Source organism: Homo sapiens, chromosome 8, assembly GCF_000001405.40.
Source record: "Homo sapiens chromosome 8, GRCh38.p14 Primary Assembly".
NCBI classification, from domain to species: Eukaryota; Metazoa; Chordata; class Mammalia; order Primates; family Hominidae; genus Homo; species Homo sapiens.
Genome location: NC_000008.11, coordinates 77707567 through 77725928, shown reverse-complemented (window position 1 = coordinate 77725928; position 18362 = coordinate 77707567). Strand labels below are relative to the sequence as shown.

The 18362-nt window shown below is 32.6% G+C and overlaps 1 annotated feature.

Annotated features, from left to right (window-relative positions):
* Positions 16917 to 17515: an enhancer, noted in NCBI's record as "OCT4-NANOG hESC enhancer chr8:78620650-78621248 (GRCh37/hg19 assembly coordinates)". NCBI's record gives its function as "activates a minimal SCP1, AML or CMV promoter by ChIP-STARR-seq in naive and primed H9 embryonic stem cells {active_cell/tissue: H9 hESC(naive and primed)}" and the evidence as "EXISTENCE:reporter gene assay evidence [ECO:0000049][PMID:30033119]".

The window sequence follows — 18362 nt, the reverse complement described above, 5'->3', positions numbered from 1 at the left end:
CTAAGTCATTTCATACAAGATATTACTGTCATTCTAAAAAGTATGTTTGAATAAATGGAATGGTCAATTGCATAATTGATCTCAATCCTTCTCCCCACTCTGCATTCACACCTTCACTATGGAATCAACACGAATGTAGTTTACTTCCCTATCTGCTGATATTGAGCTTGGTTAATATCAAGCTCAATATCTTTCTATGACCGATGACATATATATGCATGAATCACAATATTATCATGGTATCAGGTAAAAGGTTAACAGAGTTCAGGAAGGAGCTGTACATGACACTTCTACGTCTGCTCTTACTGTATAACTTTAGAAAAGTCTTTTCATCTTTCTGATCTTCAGTTTTGTCATTGAAAAGTAAGAATTCAAAACAGATTATATATATATTCCTGTTTAGGCTTTCATAATCTGTATGTCTTGGCACAAATGTATTCTCTTCTTTCTCTCCATTTCATAAATATGTACAAAATCATTATAAATTATGTAATAAATCGTTATTATATTTATGAAAGCAGGTAACAGAACTGATGAATTATGGATGCTGCAGACAAATCTTTCTTTTCTTTCTTTTTTTTGGGATGGAGTCTTGTTCTGTTGCTCTGTCGCCCAGTTTGGAGTGCAGGGGTGGAATCTTAACTCACTGGAAAGATAAATACCCACTGGATCCTGATACAAATTCATGAGTTTCAAGATATCCAACATTTTACCTGTATCTGCTGTACATCAATCAGAAAATGTAGGCCATTTTTTCCACTATAGCATGGAATGTTACATAAAACTCAGAAGTCTTTCTAATAGGCTCAGATTTGGTTCAAATAATGTTTACCCAGTTTTGATCTTTACAAATGGCTTCACATCTAGAAGCCATCTTAGACCTCATCTTTTCCCTTTCCTGTCACATTTAAACATGTGCCAGATCTCACAGAATAGATTTTTTAAAATATGACTTATTTTTTTCTTCCATTTGTCCCCATCAACGGTAGCCTTATTGAAGATCTAATCAAATTGACTTCGTTAATAATATCTTAATAATGTTTTCATATTGACATTAATTCATCACTACAATTAATTAAAGGGTTATTGTGAGAATTAATTAAAATAATAGATGTGGGTGCTTAGCATATACTATATACTCATAACATTGGAGACGATGTGTACCAAGAGCAATACTGACAGCAATAATCATTTTTTGAAAATCTGATTCTCTTAAATATATCAAGGCATTCGATGCTTTTATCAAAAGCAAATAAGTAATTCAGTACAATTTCAGTGGTTGTAGAAATATCTCCAGTCCAAGGAAATTTGTTTAGATCACCAGCTTTCCCTGAAACACTTAATTTGTTCGAAAGGACTATCGTGGAATGTTTTTATTCAGATTTGGAAGTTAAGCTCTGTTGATGCCATATTCTTAAAGATCATGTAAATACCACTTAGATGGTTCATTCTTGTTGCTTCTCTGCATGTTGCTTGTGCCTACATGTTAATTGCATGAATCTAAATGTAGTTACATTGTATGTCAATTAACAACAGAAATACTTTCTGAGAAATGCATCATTAGGCAATTTTATCTATGCAAACAGCATAAAGTGTACTTATACAAACCTAGATAGTATTGCCGACTACACACATAGGTTATATGGTTTGGCCTATTTTCCTAGGCTACAAACTTTTACAGCATGTTTCTGTACTGAATACAGTAAGCAATTGTAACACAGTGGTAAGTCTTTGTGCATCTGAACATATCTAAACATAGAAAAGGTACCGTAAAAGTAAGATAATCTTATGCGAACAGCTTCATATATGTGATCATCATTGATCAAAACATCATTATGTGGAACAGAACTATATTCTCATCAAAATCCTCAAAGTGAACAGGTGATTATCATATTCAATATTTATTTGAAAAATGTTACAAAAAGTGGAAAGATTTAATCACTTATTAAGTCTTGGAGCAAACTGCTCTAAAGTAAACATATTTTCAATACAAAAGTAATCATTAACAGTTTTCCCTATTTTGCTAAAGTAAATGCTTTATTCAAATATTATCCAAGTAATATTTTATATATCAAACTGCACTTTCAGTGTCAACACTTTAATGAATGACATTTTTTCTTACTACAAATATAAAGGGTGCTGATAGTTGATATATTTAATCCTCAATTTGACAAGAACATCGTCTTGGGTAGTATCATTGTTATTTCTGGGTTATCGTCATGACTCCAATTAAGCTACATTAAAAACAAAACAAAAAGAGAGAGAGAGAGAGAGAGAGAAAGAGAAAGAGAGAGAGATGAGTGGAGATACCAGGCATCCATTTCTTTGATGATGGTGAAGAAAGTTCCACTGAAAATTCATATTCTGATTTTAAAGCTAATATATACTACATTGAATTATAGAAACAAGAAGGTATGACGAAGAAAGAGCATCTTTGCCTAGAAATCATGCAAAATTTTTAAACATTATGGAAACGATGAAAGGGAGATGAATTGCCTATTGCTTTTAAATATCAACTGACACTATGAGAAGCAAGTTGTGTAAGAAATAGCCATTTTTAATCAGTGGAAAGTAATCTAGCAATCAGCTAAAGTGATAAGCAGAGAAAGAAAATGTTGCTGTATTCTATCATCAATGTCAATAAAACAATTAAATGCAGTGCAATGACTCATAGCCTAAGAATAAACATATCATGGAAATAGCTTCTGTTTTTTTTTTTTTTTTTAATGTAAAATGTTGCCTTACTCTCCTTCTGGAAAAAATTAGTTAAATGTAAATGCATATTTTCATCACACCTAAAGTGAGTGCCACAACCTTAAGGTAGAATGCAATAACCTGATTGAAGCCTGCTACATAAAGTGGAAAGACTTAATCACTTATGATACCTGGCCATATTGGCTCTCATTCCCTAGCATAATCTGTGAGATTTAAGTGTGTGTGTGTATGAGTGTGAGAGAGAAAAAGAGAAAGAGAGGAAACTACTAGCGGAGTTGAACATGCACATGAACACCCACACAATCTTCAGACACTGTTTTTATGTGCTTTGCAATTTTGGATCAATGGTTGAAAGATTTACTACCTAGAAACACAATCAACAATTTTGAAACAGACAAAAAGAAAGCCATATTCAAATGTAGACAATACCTTTTCTAAAGAACAACTCCTGACAAAGTATCAACTGCCTTCGGAGAAAATACTATAGAATGATGACCAAAAGCAAAGCAGCCATGTGAATAGAAGACAGGATGAGCTTGAAGTCATCTTCTATCAAACTAGTATATTCTTGTGCTGTCACACAGACCATATTTTTGTAACAGCCTAGTCTCAAATTTATGTACTTTGTTCTAATCACTGAAATTGTAAAGACAATTTTGAAATTAAAATAGAAAAAAAGAGATTTTTTTTTAGTAACAAGGTTATGATATACTCTCCTTCTAACAACCATTATGTCAGTATCAAAAACCAAAAATCAAAAATTAATGAAAATGTTCTTTACAACAAATATTCTTTCATTAGCACAACAAAATGTAGAACATTTCTAATTACAATGAGTTGCCAAAGTGGAAGATTATCTGAAATAAAATGAGCTACAAATGCTTAATTAGGTAAGACAGTGCTTTTATTCTCTCACATTTCATTATAGTTCACTCATTTATGCTACTTTATTTTAATTTTGCCATTTTCTTGCTCTAGTGTCAAATAGTTCACTTATTTATATAGTACAAAATGCAAATTTTGTGCAGTGTTAAAAATCATGTTAACTTGAAATTCTTTGTCAATATGTATTAATGTATGCATGAGTCTAATTTTTAATAGAAAAATTTCAAAAAAATACACTTATGCAGCCAACAAACATATGAAAAAGAAAAGCTCATCATCACTGGTCATTAGAGAAATGCCAGTCAAAACCACAATGAGATACCATCTTACGCCAGTTAGAATGGTGATCATTAAAAAGTCAGGAAACAACAGATGCTGGAGAAGATGTGGAGAAATGGGAACTCTTTTACACTGTTGGTGGGGGTGTAAATTAGTTCAACCATTGTGGAAGACAGTGTGGTGATGCCTGAAGGATCTAGAACCTGAAATACCATTTGACCCAGCAATCCCATTACTGGGTATATAACCTAAGGATTATAAATCATTCTACTATAAATGCACATGCACACATATGTTTATTGCAGCACTATTCACAATAGCAAAGACTTGGAACTAACCCAAATGCCCATCAATGATAGACTGGATATAGAAAATGTGACACATATATACCAAGGAATACTCTGCAGCCATAAAAAAGGATGAGTTTATGTCCTTTGCAGGGACATGGATGAAGCTGGAAACTATCATTCTCAGCAAACTAACACAAGAAAAGAAAACCAAATATCACATGTTCTCACTCAAAAGTGGGAGTTGAATAATGAGAACATGTGGGTACAGGGAGGGGAACATCACACACTGGGCCTGTCATGGGGTAGCGGGCAAGGGGTGGGATAGCATTAGGAGAAATACCTAATGTAGATGACAGGTTAACGGGTGCAGCAAACCACCGTGGCACATGTATACCTGTGTAACAAACCTGCACGTTCTGCACATGTATCCCAGAACTTAAGTATTAAAAAAAAAAAAGAAATGAGATGATCTGCATGCATGACCAACACAAAATAACTTAGCCCTTTTTGCTTATGAGAACATAGAAAACACGGCTGTGGGTGACAGCTAATTTCCTCTCTCCTCCTTCTGGCCTGCAGCTAATAATGCATAGTGATACTCAAATATCATTTAGAAAAATTAGTCATAAACATGAAAAAAAACAAAAAATAAAACCACTTTATCAATTTTAGGCTAACTAAAGGAGTTAGAAATGCATTTCTGCTATTGAAGAAGAAAAGTGTAATGGTGGCCTAACCATTTTGTATGAAAAACAATTACACACCCAAAAATGTGTTATAAAGTACAGATGTTTTCCGAGATTAGAAAAATAAATTTTGCTTTTAGCATATGTAAGCATACCTTATGGAATTCATTTTCATCACTTCGATGCTTTTAAAAAATGTTTCTTGAACAAATACTCGGGGAGTTTGATATGGAGATGTAAAAATCTTTAATGTATGTTTTTATTCTTTAGTATTAAAAGAGTTCAAAGTAATTTAGAAACTTAATACTGAACAGTATAGTTAGGAACTAAGACCATGTAATATATAAAATTTCCCCATTTTTTCCATGAATATAGGTCTTTTTACAACTTTTGTTCCATGTAAAGCCTCATGTGTATATCAATTAACTCTCACATTTTAGTTGACACATTCTTTCTTTTTCATGACTATTTTTAGTTTAGTCCCATAACTTTGAAATTTCCAAAAATCCCTATAGCCCACTCTTAGACTTCTCTCTCATTTTGTTCTTAATTTTTAAATTTAATAATCTAAATGGTGGCATTAGCTTAAATATGTATTAGAAAAAATGTATTAAGCCCAGAATCAAATATGGAGTAATATAAATGTGCTTACATTTTTTCCTGTTTTTTCTTTGTTATATTCTTTATAATGTACAGTTAAAAGCATACATTTATTGTTATATTCATTTAAATAATTTTAATTATCTATATATTAGGATAATTAGAATCGTTCCAATTATTTCATCAAATTTCATTATTTTTAAATATTTAAAATCTTTACATGTGTATTTTTCCTTTGCCATTTTCTCTTGTAATTATTTAGTAAGTCATCTTTCTCCCGTGCTGTACAAAGAGTTTTTCTTTTTTACAGAAGGAAAATTTCAAATAATTGTTGGAAAAGACTGTTTATTCTTAGTTGCATCAATAAAGAAAATCACCTCTTTCTATGCTTTTTTCCAAAATATATTTGTGTGATAAAAGTATGTCAAGCCCTTAGATGTGGATGATTGGTTCACAGTTTTTTAAACTGCAAAAAAAATCACTTTGGGCCAGGCACAGTGGCTCTCACCTGTAATCCCAGCACTTTGGGATGCCGAGGCAAGGAGGATCACCTGAGGTTGGGAGTTTGAGACCAGCCGGACCAATATGGAAAAACCCCGTCTCTACTAAAAATTAAAAAAAAAAAAATAGCTGGCACGGTGGCACATGCCTGTAGTCCCAGCTACTTGGGAGGCTGAGGCAGGAGAATCACTTGAACCCAGGATGCCAAGGTTGCAGTGAGCCAAGATCACACTATTGCACTCCAGCCAGGGCAACAAGAGCAAAACTCTGTCTCAAAAAAAAAAAAAAAAAAAATCACCTTGGTCCCATCTTAAAAATACTTCTAGATCTACTCTCTATAAATTCCAGTTCCATATGATGAAATAGAACCAATGAACTTGCATTTTTGAAGAGTACATATGTGATTATGATGAATGTCACTTGAGCCACACTGTGAAAAACAATGAAATAAGAGAAAACGTTACACTGTTAAGCTTAAATTTTTGTATAGATGGTATTCTTTGTATCTTTGATCCCAAATGACTTTTCCTCTCTTCCAGGCTTTTTCTGTTGTGTACATTAGTAGTATCACTGAAACATAGAACAATGACCTCAAAAGGTAAATCAGTATATAATTCATGATTCACTCATGTAGATGATACTGAGAATATTTATACACATTGATTTATGTACCTGTATAGAAATGACACACTACTCTAATCATACAGTGACTTTTCAAAGATACGATCTAGTACAATGAAAATTGCACTAAAGCTTAAATCTTAGTTTTTAATGTTCAGATAGTTAAGTTTGGTAATGGATTTGATTGGGTATTCTCAATGGAAATATGAAGGGATTATAACCCTCAGCCATAAATACAATTTCAACTATTTAACATTGGAAAGACAGGTCCATGTATAGGGAAGGTTGGTTACCCTGTCACCTTTTGCTCTGTTCCCTTGGAAATTCTGCTTCTCCTTAGGGTTTTCTTGTTTGGATTATTATAACAACCAGAGACTAAATCTCATAGATAATAGCTTCTTCTTCCAAGGATCTGGCTAAGCACAGATTATACGTAAAGTGAAATATAAAGCAAATTAATAATACTATAAATAACCCATATTATATCCTGGGTTATTTCTTACGCAAACAATGCTGACTCTGTTCTATGGTAAAATATTGGTCTTTCTCATAGGTTGCAATCTAGGACAGGTGTGCCTGTAAGAGTCCTGGTTTACACTAGTGTGATTACTAATGGTAGTTCTTTTCAATCTCAAAAATCCTAGTTAAGATGATCAATATATTATTTCTCTACCTATGTATTTCTTTGAACCTACTTTCTATTATCTATCTCCTAGTGTTTTTTTCTTTTACATTTCCCAGTAGGCCTGTATGTGGAAGAAACCGTTTTATTCCCATGGCTCATCAATCATAGAGTTTTAGTTCCTTTGAAACTAAGACTAACAGCAATTTAACCTCTGTGACAGTCCTAATATCTTGTCCACACAGTTCACTTTCTCTTACATAATAAATAGAAATCTAATTATTGACTTTAGAGAATGACTTAGATTGATAATTAGCTAATAGAAAATGAATATATTGTGTGCACAATAAATAAAATATCTGCATAATATGAGGATAAAGTGGCTGAAGCATAATGGCCAGTGGAAGAAAAAGAAGTAAAAGAGGGTAGAGAGATGATCAAGAGCCAGGACATGCAAGGTTTTTAAATCTAGTAAAGAGTTAGATTTTATTGTGCTAGGAACCCATTAAGAGACTGGAAGATAATACAATCTCATTTATACTTTTTAATGATTACTCAGAAGAATGGATTGCAGAGAATGAAAAAATTAACTAGGAGCCGATGGCATTAATTTAGATTATAGAAGATGGTAATTTAAACGATTGTGGTAATCATAAAAAACAAGCAGAAATAAATAGGTTCAAAACCATTTTGAAGCTAGAGTTAGAGATTTGTAGAGGCATGGGTACAGAAAAAGCATCTAAAGAGGTAAATCAGCAGAAGTCCCTGTAAGATGGTAGGTTGTGATAGAGGAGAAATTAGAAGTTCTGTTTTGCTTTCATTAGTTTTGATATACCTATTAGAGATCATGGGGTTATAATGTCAAAAACACTGTTTAACATATAAATCTGCTGTTCTAGAGATAGGTTAGGGCTAAGAGATACTTATATGTCATTAGTGTATCAGTGTTAATTTCTGAAATCTGTTCCAAGATTGGCCCTAGCATTCAGTCATTATACATTGTGCAGAAAGTGCCCATGCTTCTGAAATATTCTTTACCTACTCCTTGTTACTTTAAACGTACCTATTTTATGTCTCCCTACGCTGAAACTTTCTTTTCACTAATACACTAAATACAAAGAAATACCATGCTAAATAATAAACATACATGTTAATTACCTTAAGTAGATGGTCTTTTGACTAACCCCATTGTAAGAGACTTGCTGGTTCATCAAACATTTTCTGCTTCCTTTTTGTGTATACTGACTGGTGGTCGTGGCATGCTTCATGCTCTCAACATGTTGTCTACTTATTGGTTTGAACAGGCAAACTGAAACTTAATGCCTACTAAAACTTGGTTGTATTTGCTATATTTCTTATGGCAGCTTCACTGGCTACCTAATTGTATAGTTGAATTAAACATTTAGATGTCATATAAATATGAAAATAGCATTGAATGTTTGAAACTTCAGTTGAGTAATTTAAAATTATTCAACAATGGTAACTTAAAAATTATTACTGTGAAATTAGATATGGGCCAAAACATCCACAAAAGACTTGAACATTTTTAAAATATGAAAATTGTTTTGTATTTAGAATTTTTATAAGTGTTTAAATTTTTGTTCGACTTTAAAGAAATTGGTACTGATACTCATAGTATCACTATGAGTATCACTACGTCAAAGAAAGTATCTTTGACACAGTATCAAAGAAAGTGATACTAATACTCATAGTGATTATATCATTGGCTATTTATGCAAAAGCAACAGTTTAGAAATGAGAATAAGCAGAACTATATTAAAAGATTGGTCTCATATCAAAGGTTGACAATTCAACACATATTTATATGTTTTAAATTAAAACAACCTGTTTAACATATTCAGGTATTATTTTTATGATTTGCTGCCTCAACTGACTTTGTAAAACCAACCACTGCTTGAATAACATCAAATAATAGGGCTTTTATGATACTTCAAGAGATGTTCAGTGGGGGCTACTAATTCTTAAAATTTAAGAGACTTTTAAAATACTGTAAAGAGAAAAATGTTTTAAAAGATAGGCCTTTCAGATAACACATACACACACATATGTATTTGAAATACATATATATGATATATATATATATACACACACACACTATCTTTTTAGCATGAGTGTCTAATCTAACAATTCCACATTTGGATACATTTGTCCACATTTGCTGACTTCGTATCATCCTCTCCCACTCACCATGAAACCTATTTGAATCATCAGCTATATGGGTGCTCTTAAGAGCACCAATTGTACTCTCAATGTTTATCTATTGATAACACGACCTCTATCACGTGAAACTGTGGCAATTCTTCCCTTGAAACATTATCTGTCCTCATTTTCTGTAACAATCTTGCTTTTGCTTTTCTTCCTACCTCTCTGGATATTCATTAAGGATTTTCGTCCTGCTCCTTAAATGTTAGTAATCAATAGGTTCTTCTTGCTTCTTTTCTCTCTCCACATGCCTCATTCTTCTAGTCTCATGGTTTCAAGCGATCTCTATATATTCAATGTCTCTTACTCTAAACAAAGGTAGATTTACATCCTGGGCAATAGTCTTGACCATCCTACTGCTAACTTAGCATGGTATATGGATGTCCTATGGGTACCTGAAAGGAAAATTTAAGTGGAAATAAATATGGTCAAGGATAATAGAAACATTCCTAAAAAGAATGCAAAGTTAAAACATTCATAACATAAATTCAACATATGTTTTCAACATATGAAAACACTCATAACATAAATACAAAGTAAAAACATTCCTAAAAATAATACAAATTTTTTTAACTTGGTAATATGGTGTATTTTAATGATATAGCTATTGGGGAGAATGATATTGGTTAAAAGAGAGATGGGTAAGCTAGTAAAGCAGAAGAGAGTGTAGAAACAGATCCACAACATATATACACATATGATTTATAGAAATGGTAATACTCAAGATTTTCTTAATAACTTTTTCTGAGTTTATTGAATATGAGGAAAATAAACTTGATCTTTACATCACATTATAGATAAAACAATAAATAACTCCACATACACTTTGGATTTGAATGTAAAAATAATTAAATAAATAAATAAAATTACAGCTTTTAGAGTAAATCATAGTAACAAATCTTTGTGACATTAAGATAAACAAAGATGTTATTAAGATCACACAAAATACTGGCCATAAGGAATAAAATGGTTAGAATCATGAATTAATGAAGAAAAACTTTCAAAACTGACACTTTTATCACTTAGTAGTTTTCAATCAAGGGTTTACAAAATAAAGTTATCTCCTGGGAAATGTGGGCTAGTTGAAGTCCTTTCATTCATTCAACAAATATTTATTGAGGCTATATTATGTATCAGGCACTGTTGTATTGAATGCATGATAAGACTAGTTAATAAGATAAAAATCTCTGCTCTCACATAATTTAGATCTTATATGTAAAGACCGTGAATAGAAAATAACAATTGTATATAAATAATATGTACATATATTACATATTAATTATGATGCATTTGATCTCACATATACAGATATAAAATATGCTTATGTGTGTTTATGTATATACGTATACATAGTGGTGCTTGCTGGGGAGAAGATAAAGGGATGTAATTTGAATAGGGGTGTTATTATAGACTGAATTTTTGTGTCCACCTCAAATTCATATGTTAATGCTCTAACTTCCAACATGATGATATTGGAAGTGGGTCCTTTGGGAGGTAATTAGGTTTCTATGAAGTCACAAAAGTAGGGCCTCCATTATGGGATTTGTCTTTATAAGAAGAGAAAAAGAGACCAGAGTTCGTTCTCTCTCTCTCTCTCTCTCTCTCTCTCACTCTCTCTCCCTCTTCATCATGTGAGGAAAGAGCAAGAAAGTGGCCATCTGCAAGTCAGGAAGAGAACCTTCACTAGAAGTGAATCTGCCAGCGCCTTGATCTTGGACTTCCCAGGTTTCTAAACTATGAGAAATAGAACTATTCCAGGAAGAGGGAGTAGAAAATTCAAAGGTCCTGAGGCAAATGTTTGACAAGCATATTCAAAAACTTACCAGGAAGCCAGATTGACTGGAAGGAGTGAGCGTTAGGTGTCAGAGGTAACTGGGTGGATAGGTCACATAGAGCCCTATAGGCCCTTGTAAGGACATCAAACGTTGGAGGGTTTTGACAGGAGCGATGTTATGTTTGTCTGTATTTTAACATGATTGTTCTGACAGCTGTGTAGAGAATAAACTAAGGGTGGTAATAATAGAATCAGGAAGAATAGTAAGGGAGTAATTATAAAAATCTAGGCAAGACAAGAAGCATATGAAAAAAATGTTCAACGTCACTAATCATCAGATAAATGCAAATTAAAACCACAATGAGATATTACCTTACACCAGTCAGAATGACTGTTATTAAAAAAATCAAAATGTAACAGATGTTGGCAAGGATGCAGACGAAAGGAACGTTTACACACTGTTGGTGGGAATATAAATTAGTAAAACCTCTATAGAAAACAGTATAAAGATTTCTCAAATAACTAAAAATAGAACTATCATTGATCCAGCAATCCCACTACTGGGTATCCACACAAAGAAAAACACTATTAAATAAAAAATACTCTAGCACTTGTCTGTTTTTCACAGCCCTATTCACAATAGCAAATATATGGAATCCACATAAGTTCCCATCAGTGGAGGACTGAATAAAGAAAATATGGTGCATCTATACAAAGAAATACTACTCAGTCATAAAAAAGGAATGAAATAATGTATTTTGCAGTAACATGGATGAAACTGAAAGCCATTATCTTAAGTGAAATAACTCAGAAAAGAAAGTAAAATATCACATGTTCTTACTTACATATGGGAGTTGAATAATGTGTACACATGGACATAGAGTGTGGGATAATAGCCACTGTTGACTCCAAATGGTAGGAGGATGGAAAGGGGGTGAAGGATGAGAAATTTATGAGTACAATGTAATTTATTCTGGTGATAGTTCTACTAAAAGCCCAGACTTCACCACCATGCAATATATGCATGTAGCAAAACTGCACTTGTACCCCCAAAATCTATAAAAAAAATGCAGGCAAGAGATGATGATGTTTTGGAGCAGTAATCATGGAGGTGGTTTGAAGTAGGCAGTTTATGGATATATTGTGAAGATGGAGCTCTGGTATTGTTCATGGATAAAATGTATAGTTGGAAAAAATGAGGAGTTCGTTATGATTCTTATGACTCGGGGCCTGAATATTTGAAAGGACAGTGTTACATACTGAGGTAATGCAGACAGAAAAGCAAGGTTTTTAATGGATAGTTTAGAGAAAAATTAGAAATTCAGATTTGATATGTTCAATTTGAGATGTGTATTACACAGTAAGATAAACAAATTGAGAGCTCACAGGGGAGACTGGGGTGGAAATAAATTTTGGGGATTGCATGCCCAAACAATATTTAAAGTTGTAAGACTTTGTGCAATCCACAAAAGAAAATATATGGAGAGAGAAAAAATAATAAGAGCTATAAGGACTGAGTCCTTGGGCACAACATGTAGCATTCAAGGCAAGGAAGAAACAGCAAAGGGAAACAGAATCCAAAATGGCTCAACAGCAGGAAAAATGTTAAAACATAAAGCCCAGTGAGAAAACGTGCCAAGGAAGTTTGGGTACTCAACAAGATTAAATACTGCTAAGAAATAAGAATTTACCATTGGACTTAGTAGTATGAAGTTCACTGGTGACTTTGTTAATGACCAGTGGATTGGTGGGGATTACAGTTTGATTGGAGTGAGTTCAAGAAAATGGAAGAAGACAGCAATGACTGACAACTTCTAGGAGGTTTTCTATAAAAAGAAGCAAATGGTTAGCTAGTTGTTCAGATGGGGAGGAGACAAATGCAGAGGGTAAGAGCAATAATAGAATAGAGCAGTAGACAGGAAAAGTTGATGGGTAGAAGTAATGCTTAAATATTTGAGGGTGTAAGTGTGATGGAGCTAAAACGTTGCTGCTTGTGCAATCTCGTATATAAGAAAGACATGAGAGCTCACTGAAATTATTGCTGGTGTTTATAATTTGATATTTTCAAGATACTAGAAATAAAAACCTCAGGCAAAAAAAAGAATCAGGTCATGTTTGAGGTTTTGAAATATAAATATATTACATTATATATCAACCTTATGCTTAGTTGTTTAAATTTTTGAAAAAATGTTTCTTTTATGATGTTGAAAACCACATTTGCAATTCTCATCTCTCTCCACACACCATGAATCTCTCCCAAATGCAGACCTTCCACTGACTTCAAAGAAAGAATTTCACATGGAATCAATAGGACTGGTTTAAGAACTGAACCCAAATAAAATGCAGATATTGTAGATATATTGAGAGATGTGGCAGACCACATATTCAGTAGACATTTGCAAATGTATAAGAAGTTCATTCTGAAAATATATCTTTTGATAAACAAGTTGAAATTGTTATTGAAAATTTTACAAAAATGCATGCGTGCACTATTTTTACAATAAGCCAATACACCTGTGTTATTTGATATAAAGCAAAATCAAAATTTTACTCCCTTCTTATTTATATAGATATGTTGAGATTTTATATTATTTAAAATTTTATAAAACTTATTTAAAAATATATAAATATTTCTAGATTTCTGTGTATATGCACTATCAAACATATTAAAAATATTTTGAAATTTAATTATCTTTAGTTATTTAAAATAATTTTAACTGTTACACATTATATTCAAAAATTATATTTTTATTTTTTAATTTATGTATGTATGTATGTATTTATTTATTTATTTTGAGACGGCATCTCGCTCCTTCACCAGGCTGGAGTGCAGTGGCGCGATCTCAGCTCACTGCAACCTCTGCTTCCCGGGTTCAAGCAGTTCTCCTGCCTCAGCCTCCCAAGTAGCTGGGATTACAGGCGAGCACCACCAGGCCCAGCTAATTTTTGTATTTTTAGTAGAGACAGTGTTTCACCATGTTGGTCAGGCTTGTCTCGATCTCGTGACCTCATGATCCATCCACCTTGGCCTCCCAAAGTGCTAGGATTACAGGCATGAGCCACCGTGCCCAGCCTAATTATCTTATTATTACTGAACAAAAGGCAATGTACCAGAAACTATCGAAACTCAAATATAAGCATGACTACTAGTAGGACAGAAAGATAATTATGAACAGTAGGGAGTTATGTAGTATTGAAAAATGTACATATACAATAATGTGAATATTTATATATGACAAAAATATACACATAAGTTTAAAAGTTGGGTAAAGTAAAATATAATTTATAATTACTGATAATGACATTCATTTTTCTAAAAAGACAAATTAAAATTTGGAAAGAACTAGTAGGAGCTTTATAGTTCTTATCTTTAGGCTCATAAAAACATATATCACAAAGATAGATACAATAAAATGGCAATCATGTCATTCTTACCATCCATTTTATAGCTTACTGTGTAATTTTAATTCATATAAACTACAGATCCTTTATGCAGAAATCACATACCATTAAGACAAACAATAACTTAAAAAAATCCAGCTAGTGTGTTTTGTATCTGTTAAAATGTTGACTCTCAAATGTTAAAAATAAAAATGAAATGTTCATGCTCTTCTTAATTTATTCCCTTTTCTCTCTCTCTGTCTCTATTTTTCTTTCTCTCTTACCTTAGCTCTGTAAACTTGATTGCTAAGGTAATTTTTAAAGTAATTATACCATTGTGTTATGGCTCCATACCAAAAATATATTGCTGTCCATTCAATTACATATTTCTCCTCCTGAGGACAAAATATTATTTTCACAAAGAATAATGCTATGCAAAATAACAGGAATCATACGATGAATAATGTCTCTTTTATTTGCATTTTTTTTTATACTTTAAGTTCTGGGATACATGTGAAGAACATGAAGGTTTGTTACATAGGTATACACATGCAATGGTTGTTTGTGCACCAATCAACCCGTCATCTACATTAGGTATTTCTCCTAATGCTATCCCATCCCTAGCCCCTCACCCCGCAATAGGCCCCCATGTGTGATGTTCTTCTCCCTGTGTCCATGTGTTCTCATTGTTCAACTCCCACTTATGAATGAGAACATGCGGTGTTTGGTTTTCCTGTGTTAGTTTGCTGAGAATGACGGTTTCCAGCTTCACCCACGTCCCTGCAAAGGACATGAACTCATCCTTTTTTATGGCTGTGTAATATTCCATGGTGTATATGTGCCACATTTTCTTTATCCATTCTATCATTGATGGGCATTTGGGTTAGTTCCAAGTCTTTGCTATTGTGAATAATGCTGCAATAAACATACGTGTGCATGTGCCTTTATAGTAGAATGATTTGTAATCCTTTGGGTATATACCTAGTAATGGTATTGCTGGATCAAATGATATTTCTGGTTCTAGGTCTTTGAGGAATTGCAGCACAGTCTTCCACAATGGTTGAACTAATTTACATTCCCACCAACAGTGTAAAAGTGTTCCTATTTCTCCACATCCTCTCTAGCATCTGTTGTTTCCTGACTTTTTAATGATCACCATTCTAACTGGCGTGAGATGGTATCTCATTGTGGTTTTGATTTGCATTTCTCTGATGATCAGTGATATTGAGCTTTTTGTCATATGTTTGTTGGCCATGTAAATGTCTTCTTTTGAGAGGTATCTGATCACATCCTTTGTCCATTTTTTGATGGGGTTGTTTTTTTTCTTTTAAATATGTTTAAGTTTCTTGTAAATTCTGGATATTAGATCTTTATCAGATGGGCCGATTGCAAAAATTTTCTCCCATTCTGTAGTTTGCCTGTTCACTCTGATGATAGTTTCCTTTGCTGTGCAGTAGCTCTTTAGAAAAACTTAGTGCTTAACATTGGTTTTTGTGTATGAAAACCTAAATAGTCATAAAGAATGACATCTTAACAGTTTGTGAATCTATCAAATATGTTTGTGAGCACTTTATTACTTGTCAAGGTAAATATTCCTTAAGAAAAAAATTTGAAGTTTATGGTTTTAGAAATACATGAAAAGCTCATGGATTATAATTTTACACAGTGTCAAAAATATTGAAAGTGATTATTAGTACACATATAATTTCTGTTTTTTCTTTTTACTTTTTAGTGGCATAAGGCTATTATCTAAAAGTTATGCCAATTTTGTAATGTAATGGTTATATTCTAGAATGAATACATGGGAAAGAAATCTACAGCTGTAAAACAGTAGTCTACAATATCTTATTTGTTCACACATATTTTGTTGTTGTTTGTTTTTACAAATTTCATTCATTTTTATTCATGTGTAATGCCTGTACACAATAGAACAAAATAAGTAACTCCCAAATTTTTAAACTTTTAAATTAAATACTCCATTAGTTTACTTAACTTCTCATTAAAAAATCAATTACTTGTGAATTTGTACCAGTTTTGTGCAACATATAAAGGAAAGAAACTATATGTGCAATATTTTCAGAATGTATAAATTATATAGTAGTATAACTTTTGTAAAATTATTTATTAAAAATTCAGATTAATAACAATGAACATATTTTAGAATGTACAAATTTTATAGTAATATAAATTATGCAAAATTATTTATTAAAAAATTCAGAAGATTAATGGTTGAACATATTTTTTTGATAAGGAAAAGAGAAAAATAGCAATGTTTAAAAGACAGGTTAGGAAAAGAGGATTCTGGGAATAAAGTAGAGTAGAAAGCACCAGTAATCTCTCCCCCAACCTAGACAAATATTTTATTGGAAGAATCTGTCTGATGTAACTATTTTGGAAGTTTGAATTCTATTTAAGGTTTACAACTTCTAGAGGAAGACTTAGGTGGTAAACTGTAGTTGATTTTGGTCAATTTCAGCTCTTAACAGAATTGCAGCTCCCCATTTCTCACCTCCAGTCCTTTGACAGGTAGCTGTGCAGGTGTTCCTGGAACATCTTGCATGCAGCTTGTGTTAGCCAGATTGAGCAGTAGGAATGCTGTCCTCTGAATATTGGGAACCTGTGTTCTGATCTCGGATTGCTACTTTTATCATGGAGATGCAGAAAGAGGCAGCTGGCCATTGTTTTCCACCTCATGTCATTGTTGCAAGCCTCTCTTCCTTGGCTGAAGTGATTTCCAGTGAATGTGAGACTAGTGTCCTTTCCCTGCTTGCCCTGTTTCATTTCTCTCTCTTTTTCCTTTTTGAAAATCAGACGTCAAAGATTAGGACATTCCAAAGTAACGACATATATGAAGAAAATTAGAAAGTGATATTACACTTACAGAAAAAAGCACAGGCTCAGAAAAGACCTGAAGAGATCTTAAGTGTACACATCAGGCTAATCTTTAACAGGGAGACAGCCTGCAATAATTATAACACCAAAAACAATAACAAAAAACAAAGCCCCTTGGCAAGGTAGAGAATCTGATTTTCACAGTTACCACATTATTACATTGAAATGTCCAGTTTTTTCAACAAAAGTTCACAAGGTATGCAAAAAAAAAAAAAAAAAAACAAAAAACAAAAAAAAACAAAAACACAAAAGTATGGCTCATTCAAAAATCAATCAATCAGCAGAAGCTGTCTCTGAAAAATACCTAAAGGCACATATACTAGAAAATAACTTTAAGTAACTATTTTAAAGATGCCAGAGGACTAAATAAAGATGTGGAGAAATTAAAACACCAATGTGTGAACAAAATGTAAATATGCATAAGAGATACAAAGCCTCAAAAAAAGAACAATAAAAAAATTCCAAAGCTAAAACATACAATAACTGAAATGAAAAATTTACTAGAGGAATTCAAAGACAGGTTTGAGCAGGCAGAAGAAAAATTCATTGAAATTGAAGATAGAAAATTAAAATTATTGCGAATGAGAAACAGAAAGAAAAAGGATTAAAGAGAAGTATACACAGCTTAAGGACCTGTGGCACACTATCAAGTGAACCAACATGAACACTGAAGAAGTCTCAAAAAGAGAGGAGAGATATAAGAAAAGAAAAAACATTTAAAGAAATAGGTGAAAATTCCCCAAATATGTAAAAAAGAATAATATAAACATATAAGAAGCTCAATGAATTCAAAGTAAAACAAACTCAGGGACCTACTCAGTCATATTATACTCAAACTTTCAACAAAAAGTATCTTAAAAAAATAAGAGAGAAGTGACTTCTCACATATAAGA